At 38.8% G+C, this 23,989-nt stretch overlaps 2 protein-coding genes and 1 long non-coding RNA gene across 3 annotated transcripts in view, besides 1 other annotated feature; 1 reads left to right on the top strand and 2 right to left on the bottom strand.

The window, feature by feature from the left end:
* ELOVL4 (ELOVL fatty acid elongase 4) overlaps positions 1 to 20,099 on the bottom strand; it is a 32,740-nt gene extending 12,641 nt beyond the window's left edge. The window contains exon 1 of the mRNA NM_022726.4: positions 19,726 to 20,099. Within this exon, the coding sequence (NP_073563.1) occupies positions 19,726 to 19,825 (100 nt within the window). The 5' untranslated portion in view covers positions 19,826 to 20,099. The remainder of the gene's footprint in view (positions 1 to 19,725) is intronic.
* Positions 19,933 to 22,179, bottom strand: LOC124901350 (uncharacterized). Its single transcript, XM_047419628.1, has 2 exons — positions 22,114 to 22,179; positions 19,933 to 20,557 (listed from the first exon to the last, which is right to left on the bottom strand). The coding sequence occupies exon 2, from the start codon at positions 20,359 to 20,361 to the stop codon at positions 19,933 to 19,935; it is 429 nt and encodes a 142-aa protein (XP_047275584.1). The 5' UTR covers positions 20,362 to 20,557; positions 22,114 to 22,179.
* Positions 20,159 to 20,208: a silencer, noted in NCBI's record as "silent region_17349". NCBI's record gives its function as "represses an Ori minimal core promoter by ATAC-STARR-seq in GM12878 lymphoblastoid cells {active_cell/tissue: GM12878}" and the evidence as "EXISTENCE:reporter gene assay evidence [ECO:0000049][PMID:35858748]".
* Positions 20,351 to 23,989, top strand: part of LOC124901351 (uncharacterized) — a 32,242-nt gene continuing 28,603 nt past the window's right edge. Inside the window, exon 1 of the long non-coding RNA XR_007059656.1 lies at positions 20,351 to 20,473. This is a non-coding gene — a long non-coding RNA (uncharacterized LOC124901351). The remainder of the gene's footprint in view (positions 20,474 to 23,989) is intronic.

Genomic DNA, 23,989 nt, shown 5'->3' on the forward strand with positions numbered 1-23,989 from the left:
CCCTATTTAAACTGTCATTTTTACTAAAGCCTGTATATGCAAAATGCTTCTGGATTAGTGAACTAGGTATTAAAATACCTTACTTAAAAAATTAATCTGTGTCTATATACTGTCAATAGACAGTAAGATACAAGATACGAAACACAATATTTAATCAAACAATTTGCAAAGTCAGGAAATGACACAACTATGGTTTTAATGAAATCAGAGTTGTTAAGAAGGTGAGCTATTGCTTGATGACTCGAGATATGGGAAAAAAAGGTGATAATGACTTGAAAGAAAAACACATATGGGAACCAGGAAAACAGAAAAACTGATTTTATTTCATAGTTTTAAAAGGAGGTCTACTATTCATAGAGATTATGGCTATATCACTCAAATCAAACACATTTCAGAGTTAAAAATAAACCAATATATTTGAACCACAGGAGAGATGGTAAACTTCTCACAAGGAGGAAATGACTTAAAAGATAGCACGGCTGACTTTTGTTAAAAAGGCGTTGTGCCACGAAGGTCTTATCAGTGACTGTTCACTTTTCTTAATGGCATTTTATCATTTTATGTTCATTATCATTCTATGACCATATCTTTCTATGCTAAAGGCCCCCTATAAAACATGAGGTGTGCATCTACTTAGGTATTTCTTTTTCTATATTATAGAAAAAAAAAGATTTAGACAAACCCCCTATATTAGAGAAGAAACATTTAGACAAACTCTCTGTTCTAGGTCACAGAGAAGGAGTTGCTGTGGTATCCTGTTCTTTTCCACCAACTTTAAGGCAGGCGCTGTTTTTCCCATGAGACTTATACAAAGAGCAAAAGTACTCTGATTAATGCCATACTCCATGTAACAAAGAAAGGAAGATAAATGTATCTGTGAGGAGATTTTAATTCCTAACATCATAGATTATCTCTCACCCTTACCACACACAGAATTCCTACTGACTTCAAAGAAAGTTCTGAGTAGCGGGTAGAAAAAAAAAATTAAAGAAATAGGTCCAAACCTCTGCCAGAAATTAAGAGTAAGTAAAAGTGCTCATTCTTTTTGATGTACAGTGTGGTATGCTGTATCGTTTTCATTCAACAGAGAAATTTAAAGAGAGGACTACCACAGGAGAGAGGGAAAGAGACACTAGTGAGAAGCTGAAGATCTTACAATATGAAACACTAATAGAGGCCAATAGAAGAGTAAAAAAGTAAAGAGAAACAGGAAATAACAGAGGCATCAGAGAAAGCACACAAGACCCTACCAGTAAGTAGACTGGTGACTGGGTTTTTTTTTTTTTTTTTTTTTTTTTTTTAAGAAATGGAGTCTCATTCTATTGTCCAGACTAGAGGGCAGTGGTGCACACATGGCTCACTGCAGCCTCCACCTCCAGGGCTCAAGTGATCCACCTGCCTCAGCCTCCTGAGTTGCTGATGCCACAAATTATAAGTAAATAAAAATGTTCATTCTTTTTTATATATAGTGTGGTGCACTGTTGTTCTCTCATTCAACAGAGAATTTCCAAAAGAGAGAAGGAAAGAGGCACTAGTAAGAAGCCACCATGACCAGCTGACTGGCTGAGTTCTAACACTGGCTCTGCTACTGTGCATAGGACCTTAGGAGCACAATCTATCTTCATTTCCTCCATCTGTAAAACTGGATGGGAAGTAGGTGAACCAGATTAGTGCTTCTCCAGTTTCAATGAGAAAACGAATCACCAGGTTGGGGAGGGGGGCGGGTGGGCATGGTAAAAATGCAGATTTTGAGACAGTGGGTCAGATATGCAGCCCATTTCTTTTCTTTTCTTTTTTCTTTTTTGAGACAGAGTCTCGTTGTGTCACCTAGGCTGGAGTAAAGTAGCACGATCTCCGTCCACTGCAGGCTCAGCCTCCTGAGCTCAAGCCATCCTCCCACCTCAGACTCCCAAGTAGCTGGTCCTACAGGCACACGCCAACACACCCTATTACTTTTTGTATTTTTTGTAGAGACAGGATTTTGTCATGCTGCCTAGGCTGGTCTCAAACTCCTAAACTCAAGCAATCCATCCACCTTGGCCTCCCAAAGTGTTAGGATTACAGGCGTGAGCCACCATGCCCAGCCCATGCAGCCCATTTCTAAGAAGACCACATTTTCCAGGAAGCTCTAACTGATGCTATGCCATTATTCCATGGACCATCCCCTTTTGAGCAGTAACAAACTACATGATCATTTAGGTTTATTTTAACTTCTGAAAATTGTTACTTTTAAAAATAATTATTAGGAGGAAGAATAGACTAATGGTGAGGAAAACTGGATCAAGAAAATTTTAACTGGTCAGGGGACGCATTTTGCATGACCAGAGCACCTGCACATGTTACTATTCCATTACAGCACTCATTACACTGTCCAGTGACCTTCTTTTAAACTGTTTTCTCCCTGAAAAGAGGGGCTGGGTGTTTCATTCTTGTATTGCAAGGCCTATCAAAGTACCTAAAAATATATTTGATGAATAAATAAAGAGTAGATAATTTTTTCACACTATTCCTCTATTCTCTATCCTTTCTGCCAAATCCAAAAGCACATTTGTTGATATTCAAGGTTTCCTCAGTGTCCAAGAACCCTTCCTAGAGCTTTTCCCAGATCCTCCTCTATGCTGGCATAATAACTTTATCCTCAAGTCAACAACTCATCAACCTAGTATTTAGTGAATATATGTGCTCTACAAAGCTCAATGACCTTTTACTTCATTCCTTACTCCAGGGGAAAAAAGCAATGCCCTCACTTCTTTGCCCAACAATGCAAGGCATGCATTCATTCAACAACCACTTAACAAATCCCTGTTTTCAGCCTATAAAAGGCCACATTTTACACCATACCCTTCTCAAATTAGCCCTTCTAGTTCAGCAGGGTCAGAGAGCTTTCAAAAATTCAGCCTCCCAGGATTATCATGGAAGCTACAGTAACTGTCAACCCCTAATCCACAGCATAACAATTCCCAACCTTTTAATAATATTTGGATGAAATTCCTCCATGTCTTTACATGTTATAATACTATACTAGTTATGTTTGTTTTTCTGCATGTATTTGCATTAATATTTCCTTTAGTGCTTCTGATGAGATGCAAATATTCTATATTTCTTTCATATGTTTCCTTTTCCACTAAAAAGGGCTGTGTCACAATAGTGCCATACAACGATATGAAAATTCATCATTACTAACAGTTCCACCTGAGTTTTAAACCAAAAAAAGGTTGGGGGGCTAAAACAGTAAAGGAAAATCATGAATACTAATGCTTCATGTATTTTATGTAAACTTTAAATATATTAAATTATCCATATTTTCATTAACTCGAATGTTTAAAAATATATATTAATATTTTACAGCTAAATTAAATCCTCTCATTTGGGCTATGTATTGAATCCAAATGTAGATTATACATATTAGTGTGACAGGAGATACATTTCTATTATGTTGTCAACATCCTAATCCTACACAGTTATCAGTGGGATTCCATGTCATTAATTCATTAAGAAAAAAGACTGAAAAACTTCGACTAAAATCCTACCTCTCCTACCACCAACTGAAGTCAAACCCTGTCGCCAAATAGTACAAAGATCCAAATATGTTTTATGTAGCATTCTTGGGAATTTCTCTTTAGAAAGTTTTGGTGGGGTGGAGGGGGAAAAAATGACACAAATATAAATGGACTCGTCAAATTTATCAAATTATCAAATTTGTTTATCAAATTATTTTTATATTTTATACTATTAATATGCTTATTAACATGTTTGTACCTTCATGTGTTAATAAATTTGCTCTTATTTTGAGCCTATTAACCATTTTAAGCCTTTCACGTTGTCATGTAAACCTTTACCTAAACTAGAATCATAAAATTTTAGATTTAGAAATGATCCCTTTATCTTAAAAATGAGATTCAGAGAGGTCAAGAGACTTGCCACTGCACGTAAAGCAAGAGCCTCATGTAACCTAGCAGCTGTTGTAGGCACTACTCAATCACCATGTACTTTAATCTTAAGGGAGAGAATTTCCCATCGATTTTTTTCTGAATTATAGATACAAATGCTATATTTTAAGACTATTCTTTCAAGGGAAAGAAAATAAGACAGACTTTTAAAAGTTCCCTCAATAGAAAGAATGACAAGAGTTACTCAAAGGAGCCAAGTCTTATACTTCATTAGGTGCAGCATCTGGCAGACTTGGGCCAGGATCATGAATGCTTCAAAGCCATGACACAGAATAAGGGAAAAAGACTAAAGACTAAAGCCTGGAAAAGAGAAAGAGGCCTCAGCAAATACTAAGAGAACTTATGAGAAATCAGATTTAATCTCCATTTTCAGAGAGAGGAATTAGAACCAACAGAAGTTATAGGAAAGTAAATTTCACCTGAATTCAGGAAATTTCTAACCAGTGGGTCTTTCCCTTTTGTACACAGAAGGAGTTGTCTCCTTTGGTAATGGGTTTCCCATGATAGTTTTGAACAAAATTTAAGCAAACCTAAAGCCAAATATCATAGCAAATTGAGCTCAGGAGCAAAAGCCTTTATTTTAATTATGAGAATTACTAAGGCACATTACACCTTAACCCTTGCGGACCCTTAAAGAGTTAATAAATAGTTTGTAATGAAAATATTTTGAGACTGATTTTTAAAGCTTATGCCAAGAGGGACTGATTTAATGTGTTCAGCAATCATACAATTTTATCTTTATTAAAAGGTTACGTAATAATTATGTAACTATGTGTTTGTCAAAATTCAAAAACTGTTCACTAAAAGGAGTCAATTTTACTATTTGCGTATTATTCCTTTATAAAAAATGAGGGGGCCGGGTGCAGTGGCTCACGCCTGTAATCCCAGCACTTTGGGAGGCCGAGGCAGGCGAATCACTTGAGGTCAGGAGTTCAAGACCAGCCTGGCCAACATGGTGAAACCCTGTCTCTACTAAAAATACAAAAAAAATTTAGCTGGGCGTGGTGGTGTGCGCCTGTAATCCCAGCTACTCGGGAGGCTGAGGCAGGAGAATTGCTTGAATCCGGGAGGTGGAGGTTGGAGTGAACTGGAATCACGCACTGCACTCCAGCCTGGGTGACAGAGAGAGAGAGAGAGACTCCTTCTCAAAAAAAAAAAATAGAGTCCACCTGAAATGGGGTTTCCCTTGAATATCTTCCACCAATAAGTTTTTATTCTTAATCTGATTTTTATCTTAAGATCACATAGCATGGTGGAATAGATGGTAAGTCATATACTCCAAAGTCATATACTACTCCTTTGCAGCAAAGTGATTTTGGCCAGATCACTTGGTCCCTGATCTCTCAATGCTCAACTAGCAGAGGAAGAGACAGACATGAGAATTCAACTGCTATGCAGTGTGATGAGTGTTATGTCAGAGGAGTGTCTTATGAACAGTGGTAGGACAGAAAAGGGGAGAAGGCAGGGTATAAACACAGACATTTGAACTTTTTTTCAAAGAAGAGGAATTTGACAAGCAGACAGGGAGAAAAGTCTTTTTTCACGGGGCAGAATTAGAAAGACCTACAAAAGTTCCCTTAGTACAATGACAAGATATAAGCAAATGAGAATATCTGAATACCCTGAGAGAACTGAATGTATAAGCAGCCCAGAAGCAAGAAATAAAACAATCTGGAAACTAAGCAGACATGATGAAGAGGATATATACAAAGGAAGAGGGCAGGAAATGACTGTGATGATCCCCTAGGAGGTCTTACAAACTACACTGAGGATGCTGGAATTTATCATGTAGATAATGAAGAGATATTTGATTGTTTTTGTTTGTTTGTTTGTTTGTTTGTTTTGGGACTGGGTCTGGCTCTGTTGCCCAGACTAGAATGCAGTGGCATGATCTCAGCTCACTGCAGCCTCCACCTCCAGGGCGTAAGCGATTTTCGTGCCTCAGCCACCCAAGTAGCTTGGACTACAGGTGCATGCCACAACACCCAGCTAATTTTTGTGTTTTTTGTAGAGACGAGGATTCGCCATGTTGCTCAGGCTGGCCCTGAACCCCTGAGCTCAAGCAACCCACCTACCTCAGCCTCCCAAAGTGCTGGGATTACAGTCATGAGCCACCACACCCAGCCAGTTTTGGCTTTCAAAAGATCATGGTAGAGGCAGTGGGGTGTGGACTGAGGGGAAGGGGATATGTCAAGAGGCAGGAAAACCAACTGCATCAGTGGTTCTCAATACTTGTCTACCACTAGACTACCCATGTAAGAATCATGTGCTTGCTAAAATTATAGATTCCCAGGTCCTACTGAATCAAAATCTCTGCGGGTGGGACTGGACACTATGATCTGAGCTCCCCCAGGTGATTCTGACAGGCAGGCAGACTTGGAGACCACTAGGACATAAGAGATGATGGAAACCTGGGTTAGGGAGCTGCACTGGCAATGAACAGGATAGGTAGATACGAAGGTTTCGTGGGTAAAATCTACAGACTCCACGACTGTTGTGGATGTGAGAGAAGAGAGTCAAAGAAAAGTTCAGGATTACTCCCAGATTTCTGGTCTATCTGGCAACACAGACAGTGAAGTCATGATCCATAACAGAGTAAAGGAAGAGGAGCAGATCTGGGAGAAACTGATCAGGTGAATGTTGAACATCTCGCATCTGAGCTACTTTTGGGACAGCTAGGTGGAGGCGTCCAGTAGCCTCTGGAGCTGCAGAGGAACTGCCAGGGCTGTGGACACACAGAGGGGTCACTGACAATGACAATCACACCAGAGTTTGAGGTCACAAGGGAAGGAGCATGTACAGTGAGAGAATAACATGAAAAAGGAATGACTCTGAGGACAGTTGAAGATGAGTGGGTGAAATGGCAGCAAATAAGCCAGAGAGGCAGGAAAAGAGAAAACCATGTCACAAAGACCGAGAAATTTCCAAAAGGAAAGGGTGCAGAACAGAATCTATAGCTGGAAAACCAACTGTTCTTCCTTTTTCTTTTTTTAATGAGGAAATAGTTACTTCATAGGGTTAAGATGTGATAACTAAATGAACCAAAGTATGCGAAGGTTCCTAGCACACATGGATACCACGACGTCATGCATTCCCTTCTGCTGCAGCCTATTCTCTCCCAAATTTACATCTTCACAAAGTATGTCTCATGTCAGAGATAATCTGAGCCCCTCCCCTTAAAAGTCAAGCCCCTCAATGTCTTCCAGGATTTTTCTTCTCAACCTAGAGAGTTCTATATTCTGAATATGGACTCTCAAATCAGACTTACCAGCATTAGACTCTTCACTTACCAGCTGAATAAACCCAAGAAGTTACTTAGTGCCCCTGGCCTTATAGATGATAGTAGGGCTGTTGTGAGGAATAGAACAACATGTATACAGCATCTGACACAGTGTCAGAGTTCAATAATTTTTGGCATTTCATTATTATTGACACTGATCAACCACTAAATCCTCCTCTATCTTCAAAGAGAAAAGTTAAACCAAATTAAATAAAAATTACCATGAATAATTAAACTTAGAAGAGTTTACACTGAGAATAAAAAAACATTTTATGACATAGACTGAGAAGACATTTTATAATTCTGTATTTATTTATTCAGGAGATAAAATACATAAAAATTCTCACTCTGATTTTTAAAATTATTTAGAGAGGCTATTTTTAAAAACTCCTTTTCATGACAATATAAACCAGATTTTAATAAATAATAAAATGCCTGTAATCTAATAGTTTTCAACTAACCCAGGTAACTTCTACTTAATACACAAACAACTATAATTAATACTTACAACAAATTATCAGTATGTTTATTAAAGCAACTTCCTTAAAAACCTCTAATAGACCAATTTTTTTTCTGATTTCTTTTAAAGCTTTTTGCAAATCAGGATCTCCACCAGTCAGAATGAACTATCTTCCCCAAGTAAGCTAAGCTAATAAAGTTTTACTATAATCTCCCAAAAGAAAAAACAGTAATTAAAAAAATTTTAGAACACCCAAACCCCTAGAAGAACTAAAGAAAAGGTATACAAGAATACAGTAGGAAATCATCTTAGATGATGGCAAGGGGAGTCACATGGAGTAGAGGCAGCTTGATACAGGGAGAGGGACAAGACTTGAATTAAAAACCTAAATTCTAGCTCTGTCATTTATTTTCTAGCCCCATGATGATGAACCTGAAACTCAGAGCCACTATTTTCGCATGTGTAAAGTGAAGGTGATAATAAGATTAACCAAATCATTGGCCCTTTTGATTCAGGTAAAATGAGCAACAGTTACTGATCAATATAATACGGTTCCAGAAGACACACAAAATTCCTGTTAGGATAAAAAATAATTAAATCTAAATACATCTAGCATTTGATTTTTACATTAATAACTTAAGCATGTTTAAAACTTCTTCTTTTTCCATAACAGTACACAGCAGTAGATTGCAAAACAAATTAGGAATACTCCATTCCCTTGTTATTCAAAGTAGAGTCCATGCACCAGCAGAAAAGCATCACCTGGAACCTTACAAGAAATGCAGAATCTCAGGCCTCACCCCAGAACTACTAAATCAGAATCTGCATTTTAATAAGATTCCACAGTGACTTTACACATTAAAGTCTAAGGAGCACTGCTCTGGTCTACTCAGAAATGTGAGCCTACTTTAACAGGCAATTAAGTCACAAAATAAAGTTGACTTGATTTCTTCCTAGATTCTATCCGAATAAATCAGCCACTTCCTCATCTTCTAAAACCATCTACATTTGTTTAATCTACCATAAAAAAAGAAGAACACAAGTCTAACAATCGCTAAATATTGAGCAGCTTCAGGAGTATATTCAAGACACCAAGAAGTCTGTACTATACTATTCCCTAAAACTATCCATCCTTTAATTTGTTAAAACCAACAGTTGCAAATTAATTCCTTTTTTTTAAACATCTGGCTACTGATCACCACTAATATACTAAGTGATATTAAAAATCCATTTGCCTTTACTGATTACACAAAAAGGTTACCTATTAGTATGTCACACTGTACACTGCAAGTACCCCAAAGGGTAACTGTAGTCTTTTTCTTAAGGAAATAGTCAATGTCTTCCTCCATTTCTTATAAATGTCACGAGGGCCAATGCTACAGCCCTTGTTCCTTGCTGTATCTCTGTTAACAATGTCAGGTATGTAAGAGTCTTCAAAACATTTGTTAAAAGAAATTTTCAATGAAAACTGTAGACAACGGTTGTCAAGAAGAGTCTTGGAAAGAGCTTATTTCTAACAAACGGAGTAAACTCTATACATCTTAAAGGCCTCTCCTAGGTTCAAATCTAAAATGTGATGCTTAATATATTCCTCAAGCCATGTCTATCAGTGAGGTGAAAAAGGCAGAACTAGAAGAGAAGGGCCCTTCAAATACAACTGGACAAATGAGGCAGGTAATGAACAATCTGAGACACACTCTAGAAACAAACAGATCCTGAAGGTGGTGGGTGAAGAATAGCATGATCAGTTTCCTGTATAGTCAGCATGATTAGCAGGGAAAATTTCTGTTCTAACCCCTATGTACTCAAAAAAGAGGATGGAAGGTTTGAGTTTGGAAGAGCACCTGGATGAATGGGAGGAAAGGGTAGCTTTTGCAGAATGCAGGGGTAGATAAGGCAGAGGCTGGGCTAAAAAATGGCAAAGAAGTCAGAATGTGATGGGCAGACAGGAGGGAACAGAGACCTTCACCAGTGAAAGAGGGGAAAGCTGCAATGTCTCAAGGTATGAGGGAGCAGGTGCCCTGAGAGTCATTCAGCACAGGGTTAAAACAAGATGTCTCCTCTAACTCAGTTCTATAACAGTTACCCAAGAGCCTGAAAGAATGGAGGACAGAGTTAAAAAGCAGAGGGAAAAAGAATTTTCATTGCAAGTTTGCCTGAATAGAGATCATAATAATGGTAGAAAGTGAGAGAAATTATAAAATTTCCTAGAGCAAGCAAAAAATAAGAACAGATTCAGAAGCTGTAAAGGAGAAAAGACAGTTAACACAGATGAGAGAATCAATGTGTGATTCGAGCTGAAGGCTGGTTACCCTGGGATTTAATTTGACAGGGTTAGTATTAGATGAATCAGGTTCAGGGAAAGTCAGTTTACTCACCTGGAAAATGGGGATAATAACGGTACCGAGCCCAATGGAATATGAGGACTAAATGTGATAATACATATAAAACACTGGACACAGTGCCTGACACTTAGTAAGCATCCAATAAATGTTCACTATTATTACTGGGCAATAAAATGGTATTTATTGAATAAATAAGTAGGCTATGTTGCATTATAAAAAGGTCACTGTTGGGAAGGAGAAAGATCTTGATCCTATTCCAACTCTGTTACTTTCTAGCTATGTAGCTTTGAGTCTATTTCTTCATCTATAGATGGTTAAATAATATCTAACTTATAGAGATGATCTGAAAATTAAATATAAGGTGTATCAAATACAGTACTACAGCATCTTAAAATGGTCCTATACTAAATGCTCAATAAATGGTAGTGAGTTTCATCATGTGCAGACGATATCTGGTTTCAAATTCCTGACCTCAATGATCCACCCGCCTCGGCCTCCCAAAGTGCTGGGATTACAGGCGTGAGCCACCATGCCCAAGTGCAGGTGATGTCCAAATTCATGACTTCAGAAAATGGCCTATTCATAAAAGCCAGTTCATAAGGGAAAAGGAGACAATTTCAAGGGAGAAAATATATCTCGAGAGAGAGAGCTGAAGAATGTTGCCTCGTTTCCTGGAAGCCAAGATCAGAATACAAGTAGTTTCCTTCTCTCCTTGTTTCCAATTTTGCTGGGCTTCTCAGAAAAAGTAGTCATAAAACTTAATCTGGGAGTTCCAAGTTCAACCATCCACCCAATGCTGCCAATGAACTCAAAGCTTTAAGAAAATTGAAATGGTGTTTCCCTTTAGCAAAAAAGATGGAAGATACCATTAGAGTGTGTGAGTGTGTGAGTTAATGGGAACTTTAGCCAAAATCTTCCCTTGACTCTAACAGTTCTATAAGTTGAATAGCCACTGGGTAAAATACGGTTAGTCCTGAATGAATTTCATTATCCTTTCACTAACAAGTTTCTAGCTCTTGTATTATGCAATTTGGCAAATACTTTCATAATTCACTTTGAATACACTTTTTTTAAACAATCCTACACCGTCATATGGAAGTTAACCATCTTCTCAGGCTAAATATCGCATTTTGTATTCTACATATATTCACATATTTGTGTATGTATATAGTATATGAATAAATATCACTTTGTAGTTTAATCTCATACACCAGCCTTTATAGCACCTTTGAATATTTAGATGTCTTTCTTTAGATGATCTTTGGTAATATTATGACTTTGTTCAGATTTAGTATTCTAAACAGTGATACTCTGTAGATAACAATAAAAGAAAAGGTAAAATAAAAGAGAAACACAGATTACAGGCCTGATTATTTCTTTCTTGCTTGGCTAGTGTGACGGGAAGACAAGAGCACTGGGCTAGGGACAAAACAACCCATGCACATTCATTTGCACTATAGTGACCACCTACAAAAGTTACGTAACTTCTGTAAATCTCAAAGACTTCTAAATATATGGAAAAAATGCCTTCAAGGCCTATCTCCCAGAGTTATTGTGAAGTTGTTTGTAAAACCATAAAGCAAAATACAAAGCTAAAGTTTTCTTTCTTGTTATTTGCTACTTTCTAGCCACTCGGATTTTTTTTAAGCCAACAGCTATATAGTCTCTTTATAAAGTCATTTTACTTTAAATTGAAAAAATAAAGAAGAATTGACTGTTTTACCATTGAGCACTAAAGAGATCATTTCTACAGGTGCTAATGTATTAATTTTATAATATATGAAATTCTTGCATTGCGGTAAAAAGAAAAGCACATAACATAAAATATACCATCTTAATCATTTTTAAGTGTACAGTCCAGTATCATTAAGCATATCCACATTGTTGTGACTCTCTGGAACTTTTCTATCTTGAAAAACTGAAACTCTATACCTATTAAACAAGTCATCAGTTCTCCTTCTCCCCAGGCCCTAGCAAACATCTTTCTACTTTCTGTTTCTATTAATTTGACTACTTTATTTATTTATTTATTTATTTATTTATTTATTTATTGGGCCAGGATCTTACTCTGTCACCCAGGCTGGAGTGCAGTGGCACAATTATGGTTCACTGAAGCCTTCACCTCCCAGGTTCAAGTGATCCTTCTCCCTCAGCCTTCTCAATAGCTGAGACTAGAGGCATATGGCACCAGGCCTGGCTAATTTTTAATATTTTTTTGTTGCTCATGTTGGTCTTGAACTCCTGGGCTCAAGTGATCCTTGAGCCTCCACCTCCCAAAGTGCTAGCATTATAGGCATGAGCCACTGGGCCCAGCCCGAATTTGACTACAGTAGAGGGTCCATATAAGTGGAACCATAATGCCACATACATAATTATCTTTTTGTGACTAGACTATTTCACTTAGTAACAAGGTTCATCTATGTTGTAGCACATGTCAGAATTTCTTTCCTTTTTAAGACTGAATAATATTCCATTGTATGTATATACCACGTTGCGTTTATCCATTTATCCAACACTGGACATCTGGGTCGTTTCCACCTCTTAACTACTGTGAATAATGCTGCTATGTACGTGTGTGAAAAAATATATAAAATTAGTTAAAAACACACATCTGTGCTCAAGTTTTTGTTTGATAAGTGAATAAAAATGAAAACAGAAAAGCTTGTTTCTTGGAATTCTGCAGTTCAAAATCACAAATGCTTTTATGTGATTATACCTGACAGTGAGTAACTGATTTCCTCAGTGGACTAATGCATTTGTCTTTCAAATTCCAAAAATTTTACTCTAATACAATATAATCATAAATAAAACATCATTCTAAGGTATTTGTTTACAAATGGTAATATTTCATGAAGAAAAATATATGGCAAAAGATTTTAAAAATTTGTATTTTGATTAGTTAAGGAACATACTTATACCAAAACCATTTAGTTTCTTTTGTTTTCTCTTCTGTAAGACCTACACATTTTTATCAATTTTACAAAAATCTTAAGCCATACTTCCAAACTTAAGTAAAAAATGCTCATATATAAAGTGTTTATAATAGAAAATCATTTGTAATGATGTATGTTAAAATTTCACATTTTCTATTGGAAAAATATGAAGACTGAGTTTAGACTGATATCTAGGCTGCTGTTTTAGGAGATGTTATAAGGATTCAATAAACTAAGCCTTAAAGGTTATGTAGTTCAACCCTCTCACAGCACAGGTAGAAATAAGAGACCCAAAGAGTCATGAATAACTTGCCTAAAACGACATAATATGCCATCCTCAAAAGCTGAGTATCACAAAATAAATGTAATATATAATTGAGATAATTTTATTCTTTAATATTATTGCTACTGTTTTCGATAAAATAGTTGGCTCTTGGTTATTCAAGGAATCCAGATAATTAAACAGGTATAGTGTTACAGCAACAAAAGCAATGTTATTTCAAAACAGACGCTTAAATATCTGTATACTTTTGTTGCTCTATTCCTCTACCTATTTCTTATAAAGCAAATTTTAAAAAGTAAAAAGAACTAAATAAGAATCTGTTATTTGTACTATTTAGGCAGTGTTGATAACAGTTTTGCTGGAAAAAAATTTTATTTACTATAAAGAATGAGGTTTCTGAATCCCTGATAAATGTATATTTATTTGAAATTGCTTTACCTATTCCAAGAATAAAGAAAGTGATATCTATATCTAGACTTTTAGAGTCAGGTAGGACCTTACAGATTACCTAATTTAACCCTCTTAATTTACAGAGAACAATGCTGAGAATTGGGAAGGCAAAGGAACTTGTCCAAACTCTCATAGCAAATCAGCAGCAGACCAGGACTAAAACCTAGGTCATCTAAATCCCAGTCCAGAATTCTTCCCATTCACTATACCACACTGCCCTCCTCACTTCCACACAAGGCAATGCTTCTGCACAGACAATGAAGAGAACAATCATATCTGATTTTATATGTCTTGGAATCTTCATTTTTTATCTGTTTTGTGCTTCTAAATGACTTAATGGCCTGATTTACTCATTAAATTTAGTGAACGGCAACTGAATTAATGACCAACTCATAAAAAATATCATTCTTTTAAAGAACTCTCTGGCCGGGCACAGTGGGTCGTGCCTGTAATCCCAGCACTTTGTGGGGCTGAGGTGGGCAGATCACATGACACCAGGAGTTTAAGAGCAGCCAGGGCAACATGGTGAAATCCCCACTCTATGAAAAACAAAAACAAAAACCTTCTGTAATTTAGTGTGGTCTAAAGCCTTATTCATGTTTAGCAACCACAATATATCATGATTCAAAATTATGCTAGATTAAGAGGGTCATCTCCTGATACATATCATATCAACAAATATATGTGATAATCTCTGATGTTGGAGAGAAAGATACAAAGGAGTGAAGTGGTAAATAATAACGAAAGTTTAAACAGTTTGACACTAGGGTCATAGAAGGAATGGCACAGGAAATACGTGAGTAATTACTAAAGACAATGAGCTCCTGTGAGACAACAACTTGCTCCAGGGTACCATAAACAAGAAAGGCTTTGCAAAGGAGGACTATTGTACTGGGTTCTGGTAAAAGGTATCTGGAGAGGTAAACAGGGAAAAGGTGGGTAAAGGCAAGGGGAATGGTGGGATGAGAAACATAAAGGTGGACATGTACACATTTTACTTAAGGGTCAGTGAGTTATCCCAGTTGGCTAGAGCTGCAGGTCTTTGGGCAGGGGAATACTGAAGGATCAAGCGAGAAAGTTAATGTGGACCTTGGCTTTAAAAGGCCATGTGTTTCCTCCCATCTCCTTTCTGAAATCCAAACCCACATGATTTTAAAATATATATTCTAATAGAAAATAAAACAATAGTACCTTCGTTTGTTAACAGGCAAAATGTCCTGATAATGAAGACGAAAAAAACATCTAAAGTGAAAAAAGATAGACTGTTACACTACTCATTTCGGTGTGCTAATATATGCCTAATTCAGAATAATAAGTGGCTTAACAAATGAAAATACTTACGTTAATAATGTTAAAGCATTTACAGGTGACATTATCCACAGGACTTGAGCAAAAAAATAAGAAAACAAATTGAATTTTTAAAGGATGACCAAGTGCTCTGTGGCTCTTAAGTTTACAAAAGTGCCATCTGATATAATTATCTGCATAATTCTTAAAACTTTGTCTTCCTAAGCCAAAGAATCTAAGTTAAAATAGTTAAAACTGTGTCCTGACACCCGTTTTAGAACCTGCATTGTTTACCCTCCTGGAATTCCATCTGCAATAGGATGTTTTACTTTATGCTATCATTGGGGAATGGATAAGAGCATTAGCTATTAAAGTCTAGCAGTCTACCACCAAAAATCAAACTGTGGTGAAGGAAAAGACAATAAAAACCAAACCAAAACAAAAAACCATAAAATGGCATGGACATCCCAGAGGCTTCAAGGAGCTTATGAGTAAAGGATAATTAGGACGTCACTGAAAACAGTGACCAAGGGAGATCCCATGTTAGGAGCTGGTGATGTTTCTTTCTTTCTTTTTTTTTTTTAATTAGCTGCCTACAACTTGGAATCAGAATGTCTTTTCTCAAAGAAACATTCAAAGAAAACTGCATTACCAGGCTTAGCCAAACAAATAAACCTATTTTAGATAATAACATAGATGAAAAACTAAACATTAACTGTGACGAATAATAAAATTAATGTAAGCATACTGTACAATACTTAAAATACATGCTCCTCTGGGACCTAGCAATCCCTAAGACAAACCTGCTTTTACTTCAGCTTATTTGAGCTGAGTTAAACATCCCCTCCCACTAGCCCCCAGCTTCATCAAACCTGGATGACTCACTGGCCTGACCCTTAAGCACCTTCCCAGTTTCCATGGTTTTCAGTCAAGCTGTTCCCCTTGCCTTTGACACCTTTTGCCCTAGTATGCCTCTCCAAATACTCTGACAGTACTCACATCAACTCCTCATTCAAGGGTAGAGGGAAGTAAACTGTGGTGAAACAGCTAAAATATTCTAAAAACAACTGTATATTCCTTTCACTTAGGAGAAGTAGAGATGAGAAGAGCAGGGAAGGACTTTTCTGATCTTCCCTAGGCCCCAGCTAGTCCTGAGTCTGACAGATCACACTGCCTCCAGACCATGATATCAAGGAAAGGGGAATGACAGTGACCCCCTAGACTTTGCAAGATGCATGAGGGCAGTGACCAAGTGTCCTCCTTTCCTTTCCAGAGCCTAGAACTGTGCCTGTACATGGCAAGTAAATACGGAAAGAAATGGTATCATAAGCCTGGCTTCCACATTTCGTCATCCTACAGCTCTCCTCCCTCTTCCTGTACCACTCATCCCTTCTTTCTGACCCCTCCAAAGTTAATTCAAGGACCCAGCAAGTTATGTTCTAACTGCAACTACCAAGTAGACAATTTTTTTCACCAAAATGCAGGGTACTATATCTGCGAAAAGAGGGCCAATGCCAATCATTACCACCCCCAACCAACAGACAGCACCCATACCCTGTGAACAACAGCTATTTAGAAACAAATGGTCAGAAGATACATGGCCTCACAGGAGACACCTGGCTTTACCGTAAGCATCCTACTAACTCTCTAGGGTGTTTATATGCTAAATGTCAGGTATGCAAAAAAGCTATTAAACATTTATTAAAAGCATGAATAAATGAATAATGTAGATAAGTTGGGTATTCATAGATTGGGGAATATTTAGATTCATCAGTTTAAAAAATGTATATACAACTTTTATTAGATGTATACGTTGAGCCTAGGACTCCAATCCTAATAATTTAAATGTACTCATGAAGTGAAAGAATAGAAGAAAAAAACTAACATGATGACATGGAATACCTACTCTAATACTAACAACTAGTATAAAGTCCTACACCAGCCTATACTTTAACATAAACCAACGCTAATTTCCTCGTTCAAAATGTCTACAAATACAGAGAAATAAAAATTATTTTTGTTGTTTTTCTAAAAGTATAGCTCTTTCAAACTTTCAATTCCAATGTACAAAGTGTTAATACTGTAGTAAAAGTAACATTTTTGTTGTTAACATTATTATGGACCATATTTTGTATTTGCTACATATGTGCCTCTGAAAAGCCCAGTTTTCAGACATTGCTTTGGATATGTTTGGATATTTAAAGCACCATTTGATATAATAGCACAAAATGGCATTTAATGAATTAATAAAAGAATGAAAGAAGCATGTAACTACAGCACTAGGAATGAGAGCAGCCAAGGACAAGGAGCCTACCTCATTTCTTGCTCTCCCTCAATAATTTGCATCCTTTCACCACACTCATCACTATTTCTCAAGACCATCTTTCTATCCCGCCCATTTCTGTTTCCCCTTCTTTCCAAACATTTGACTCACCAACTTTTGTTTAACCTCATCTTATAAGCTACTTTTCTATTTTGATATCCCCCACCCAGATTTTCATCAAATTATGCTGAGAGGTGGAATCAGAGCAGAGTGAATGAGTCCAAAAAAAAAAAAAAAAAAAAAAAAGGAACACGAGGGGCATAGAATGAGGGAGAGTAAACGTAAATGGGACACCACAGACTTCAGGTCTATTCGGCCTGGACCTGAAAAATACTCCTCCTCACACAGCAGTACAGCAGAACAGACTATATCCACTAAGCCTCTCTGTTGGTTAAGAAATACCATCTGCCTACATAAGGTAGCTCATTACAGAAAGCAAGGAAGCAGTCTCAGGTTTCGTAAGTGGATAGTCAAAGCATAGGCAAATACCTTCCTTCGGCCTGCTAGTGAGAGGTCACTTGTGTTCTAAGGCTACTCTCACTTCTCAGGCTTGGCCCACAATATTATATTATTTTATATGCCCTTCGAAGCCTAGTAGCAAGCTTTCACATGCGGCAACTGCACAAAATTTCCTGTTTCATTTGTGTGTGTGTGGTTTCTTTTACACAAACATCATCAGGAAGGAATTCACCATCACAGAAAGGTGTATTCTACCTTTGCCCTCAATTTTTCCTTCTGAGACTCAAGAGATGGGAAAGCTCCGGGATAGGATAGGAATGACAGGACCGAGAACTCCTGGGTGTGGCTCTGGCTATATGGAGACTGGAGTATCTCAACAGTGTCTGACTCCTAGGTGTGCGAAGTGCAATTACCTGCTAAAGAACTTGTCTGATGTTCAGCTCTATACAATTGTGTAATGGGAAGCCCTGATGCAACGTTTAAAGAACCGAAATCACAGACGTGAAGGGAAGGGCACATCTTTCCCAGTTTTTGCAGGTACAGTGTAACATCAGTGTAATAGCGCATAGAAACAAAAAAAAAAACTGAAGAAACACTCCATTGAAAACTGCCTTTTAACCATTTTCAGCTGTAATGGCTTATTAAATAGCTTATTTCCCAGTGTCAAAGTTGAGATCTTCTGAAAAAGAACATACTTTTCTAAAGAAGTGAATGCAGTATTAATGCCAAATAATCATTTTGTCTCTCACAAAAATAATTCCAGCATACGTTTTTCCCAAAACATAAGCCCTATGTATCGGACTACATTCATGCTGTAACCACTGTCTAATTTCCTCTAACAACAATGAACACAAAAACTACAGGAGTACATTTTCATTTCGAAGTAGGGAAGGCAGAGTCATAAGATGGAACGTTAATATCCTTCACTGATAGGATGCAGTGTGATACTGCAAAAGGACCAGAAAAATTGACCTCGTAAAATCATTTCTGAAATCCTTTAAACCTTATTTTAGATTTCAAAGACTTTTAAATGCTTTAAAATCAAAAGCAGCGAAGCAAATGAAGAAATAAACAGTACAATGTAAAAATATAATATCACAGTTGGACGCTAGGAAAGCTGCATAAATCAAACAATTGACAGCCCTGCCAAATTAACTGCAACAGCTAAAGAAAAGTTTGCTGATTTAAGAACTGTATATATGTAGGCATCTGGGACAACCTCTAGGTGTTGCTGTAGAGACCCCCTTCCTAAAGACTGATTTCTTCCCCGGTGTTTTGGCCTCCCCCTCCCCCTGACTGCACTGCAGTGCGCAAAGCCATTATAGACAATCACTTCAAACATATTTGCTGTTGAAAATGCCTCGGAAACTAACATTCTTCAAGGTTCAAGGAGCCAAACAATATTATTTTACTTTTCAGTCCGAATTATACTATAGATGAAGGAGCTAGATAGAAGAAAAGATTAGCAGGGTTCTGTCAAAGCGACCAGGAGGCTGAAGAAACCTCCTGTACCTTCAGCTGCCCCTGAAGCCCTCCTTCCTCCCCAGCCCGCTCTCCATACAAAATAGGACTAAATGTTAAAAGGAATCCTGTGCACGGGGAAGAGGGAGGCGAGCTCGGGAGATGTGGGAGCACAGGGTGGGGCGGCTCCTGCGAGGAGCTCCTGGCTGCACAGGCTCCATCTGATATGTCAGCTCCCGCATCCGAGAGCTGATGAGAGATGGAGGGAGCTCAGAAGAAAACCCTGCGAGTGTCGGGGGAGGGGAGGCCTTAACATTCGGATCAGATTAACCAGTGCTCAACCGCAGTGCCCGCGCCGGCCCCTCCGCTGATCCGCAGCATCCGAAAGCCGCAGGGCGCGGGGGCCTGTGGGGCCGGGCCCGGGAGCTGCGAGACCAGGGGCCGGTGACCCCCCGCGGGGGACCGAGCGAGGATGGGGAAGTCAGCGGCTTTACCTGCGATGGACCAGGTCCAGCGGTAGAACTCTACCGTGTCGTTGAGTGCCGTGGACACTACGTTTAGGACACTACCCGGCTCCGAGTCCAGGAGCCCCATCGCGGCGATGAGCGGGCGCTGGCGGCAGGAGAAAGCGGAGACCCAGAGAGAGGGCTGACCCCGGAGGCGGTGGCGGCCGACGGGGCGAGCGGCGGCCGGGAACCCCTCTAACGGCGGCGGCCCGGCTGCGTCTTCTCCTGCTCCTCAAGGCGCCGCGGCGGCGGGGATGCGGCAGAAGGCAGGGCCAAGCGGAAGGCGTCGTCAAGGTTCCCGGGAGAAAGACGAGGAGGTGGAGGAGGCCCAGCCGCCAGCACAGTGCGCTGCACCAGTCTGCAGCCTCGCGCAGCCGCCCCTCCAATCTCCTCAGCCGGCGTCACGTGGCCGCGCGCGGGGGCGGGGGGCCGGCCGCCCCTCCTCCCTCCCTCCCTCCCTAGTATTGGGACTCGCTGGCGTAGGGATGCTGCGCTCAAGGGTGCGACGCCAACTGGGCTCGCGCAGGCGCGCGCCGTCGAGCGGGAGCGGGACACCTGGGCTCCTCCTTGGCCCCTCCCCGCACAAGTCGCCTCATTAGCCTTCCCCGCCCCTGTCCCGGGCATCGGCCCCTGCGGAGGAGTTCACCGCCTCCCCACGGGTGATTTCTTATCCGCCCCGGATACGTCCTGGGAAACAGGACACGGGAAGAATGGGTGTTCTGTGGGCAAAGATGAGGTAGGCGTGGTGCTTTGGTCCTTACCTGACACTCACCTCGATTTCACTTGTGTTCCTGTTTCTTTGACCTCCACCAGCACATGCCTGTCACCATGACAAGAGAAGTGCATGTGTTATGCCTCTGAAGAAGTGAAGGGTATTTGTCTTCCATGCTTCAGCGATGGAGAATAGACTTTGGGGTCGACCCATGAACAAATCAACATATAATTGCATGAATGCTTGCATGTGTTTTGTAGACTCTTTTACTATACATGGAATGAACAAAGCAATATAATTGTGCTAAATTAGGCCATTAGTAGTTCAGAGAAGAGGGAGAACCGAGAGGGGCTTACAGGTGAAGTCCGCTTGAACCTGAAGAAGTTGAGGTGAATCTGAAAAAGATAATCGCTCAAGAGGCAAAGGGCAATTTAGTGTAGAGAGGAAAACAAAGTAATTGTGGCTATTTTGAAAAATTGTTTAGATAAGGTATAGGAGAGCCTACCCTTGAAAAGTAAAAAAAATACAGTACTTGGAATTCATAATTTGATGGTTTCTCACATAAAACAAGATTTTTGAGAATAGTCCTTTCATCTACTTGTTTTTTAAATGTGTCACCTACTTGTTTAACCTTTTCTCCACTTGCTCATTTTGGATGCTACATTTTAAAGACCAGTGAGTCAAGTGTCTTATTGTTCCTGCCCTTTCACACTGTTAATGTGAATACTATCTTTTATCATACTGAAATGATCTATTTCCCAATTGACCTGGTTATATATTGTCTATATTTTATATTGGAAGCATCCTAGATGGTAAGAATTATTTTTGGTTGCTTGATGAGTACCTAACCCAGTGCTATAAACAGTAATTAATAAATATTTATGATGACAAAAATATAACATGTCTTTCAGAGAATAATAAGGATTATTGTGAGTGGCAGGAACTTTATTGCCGAACTAAAGCAAACACAGACTTCTTTAAATGCCCTATTCTTGAAATTAACCAAATAAAATGTTAATTTATTAATTTGTCAAATATATTTGCAAATCTAAAGTTTTCTGGATTGGAATGACAATTTCTCAAGTCTCAATCCTAAATTATGTGTAACAGATTCTAGTAGCTATATAAAAAAAAGAAATCCAGTCAAGTCTCTTCATTTAGGGAGTGGATAAATACCCATTCATTTACAGTGATGATCTAACAAAGTTCGGATTAGTTCGAGCTTCACCTAAAAATTTGATTACTATTTCTATATTGTGGAATCCTGGAGTTTTTAGGGAGAACAGATCTCTACCCATACTTCCATTCACACACGCAAAACTGCAGCATAATACTTAATACAAGGAGAAATTGTTAAAACAGCTTCAGGTATTTCCCTGGTATTTCTTCTACCGTGGAGGTCAACTTAAGTCCCTATTCACTAGGGGGTGCCAGTCACGTATAAGAAAATCATAGATGAGATAACCTTCAGCTGGGAATGGCGGTCACACGGATATCACCGTGTCCACACTCCACCTGTAAGAGTAGAATGTTTATTTACATTTATAAGCTGTCTAAACATATACCAAGAACCAGAACATAAAACTTACCCAATCTGGAACCCTATTACCTGGCATGAATAAGTGGTTTGTAAATACCAGTGACTGCCCAGAACCAAAGCCTACCTTGTTTAGTTGTGCAAAGGGAGGGAAACCCGCATGTCTGCCACCTAGAATAACAGCCATCTAACCAAAATCTTGGTAGCATCATAACAGAGTAAAAGCAAATACAAGCAACAACAGCATCTGCAAACTTTGAGAACAGAGTTCTTTCATGTGGATCAAATGCAAATAGGATACAGTTACCTACAAAACCTAAAGGAGAGGACATTTTATCATAAATTTTTTTGTATAAAATAGCAATATTTTTTTCTTTTTAGAAACAGGGTCTCACTCTATCAGCTAGGCTGGATTGCAGTGGTGTAATCATAGGTTAGTGCAACATCGAATTCCTGGGCTCGAGCTATCCTCCTGCCTCATCCTCCTGCCTCAGCCTCCTAAATAGCTGATAGAGAAGGAGGACTGGCTGTGTTGCCCCGGCTGGTCTCAAATTCCTGCCTGCAAGCAATCCTCCTGCCTTGGCCTTCAAAACCACTGGGATTACAGGAGTGAGCCACCACACCCAGTACAAAATATTTTTAAATGTCCTACAGTCCATACAAGGTTAGCAACATAAATCAAGCTATCCATCTTTTTTTTCCTAGTCCACCTTTCCATGTTGGTAATATTGTCAGCAACCTCTGCTTTCAAAGAAAAGTGAACCTGGAAGCCTGTTGAGTCAGGAGTAAAAAGAAATAACCTAATTAAAGAGTTGTAGAGAAAGACTTTGAATCTTCTAGAAGTAAATTTTGCTACATGGATGCTACTTAGAGAAAATGGAGAAAATTGTTGATAACACTAACTACTATTAGTTCCAGTCTTTTGTTTTATTCTGCTCATTACTCCTCCCCCACGTTATAGCCATCATATAACACAGGTGCTTGACTAACTTGGAATTACAATGTTTTCCACGAGATATGTTTCATTCAAACTTTTAAAGATGTTTACCTTTTTGTTAGCTTGTATGAATTATTTTTATTTTATTTAAATGGACATAGATTATCCTGATAATACATTAGCACAGATAAAATAACAAAAAAAGAAACAAAATGAAAATCCCCCCTATAATTTTGTCTCCCATTCTAAATAAATTTTACATGCCTATATAAGCCTTTTTTTCTTAACACAGATGGTTTTTTAAAATAATGCTACTCTATAATCTGCTTTTTTAAAAATTTAATACATCAGGAATACTTTTCAACGTAATACCAAGTACTTAATATTCCATTATATGGATACACACTCATTTATGTAGCCATTTACCCTATAGATTAGCATTTAGATTGTTTCAAATTTGAACTACTGTATCAATTGGGCTATTAGTATCCACAATATGCAATTTTGTGCACTTGTTTAATAACTCTTAGCATAAATATTTACAAGGGAAATTTCTGGGTCAAAGGTTTGGGACTTTTTTTAGGGGTGGAGAGGTGGTTGTTTTTGTTTTGAGACGGCATCCCACTGTCTCGCCCAAGCTGGAGTGCAGTGGCCCAGTCTCGGCTCACTGCAACCTCTGCCTCTCGGGTTCAAGGGATTCTCATGCCCCAGCCTCCCGAGTAGGTGGGATTACGGGTGTGTGCCATCACACCCAGCTAATTTTTGTATTTTTATTAGAGACAGGGTTTCACCATGTTAGGTAGGCTAGTCTCAAACTCCTGGTGTCATGTGATCTGCCTGCCTTGGCCTCCCAAAGTGCTGGGAGTACAGGTGTGAGCCACTGTACCTGGTCAAAGGGTTTTAAGTTTACAAATTTTGACACATCGTGCCCACTTAACCTCCAGAAATGTACCAATTCACAATTCCACCAAAATTTATGAAAAGGTGCTCATTTCCCCACCCCATTCTCTTTACTGAATGTATGCTTTGTAATCATTACCAGTCTGAGAGGTAAAGATTGATATTT

This window comes from Homo sapiens, chromosome 6, assembly GCF_000001405.40.
Source record: "Homo sapiens chromosome 6, GRCh38.p14 Primary Assembly".
Classification (NCBI taxonomy): Eukaryota; Metazoa; Chordata; class Mammalia; order Primates; family Hominidae; genus Homo; species Homo sapiens.

Bases quoted from the DNA above. Each gene is read 5' to 3' on its own strand.
- LOC124901350 (XM_047419628.1), bottom strand. From the start codon at position 20,361: ATGCCCGGGACAGGGGCGGGGAAGGCTAATGAGGCGACTTGTGCGGGG.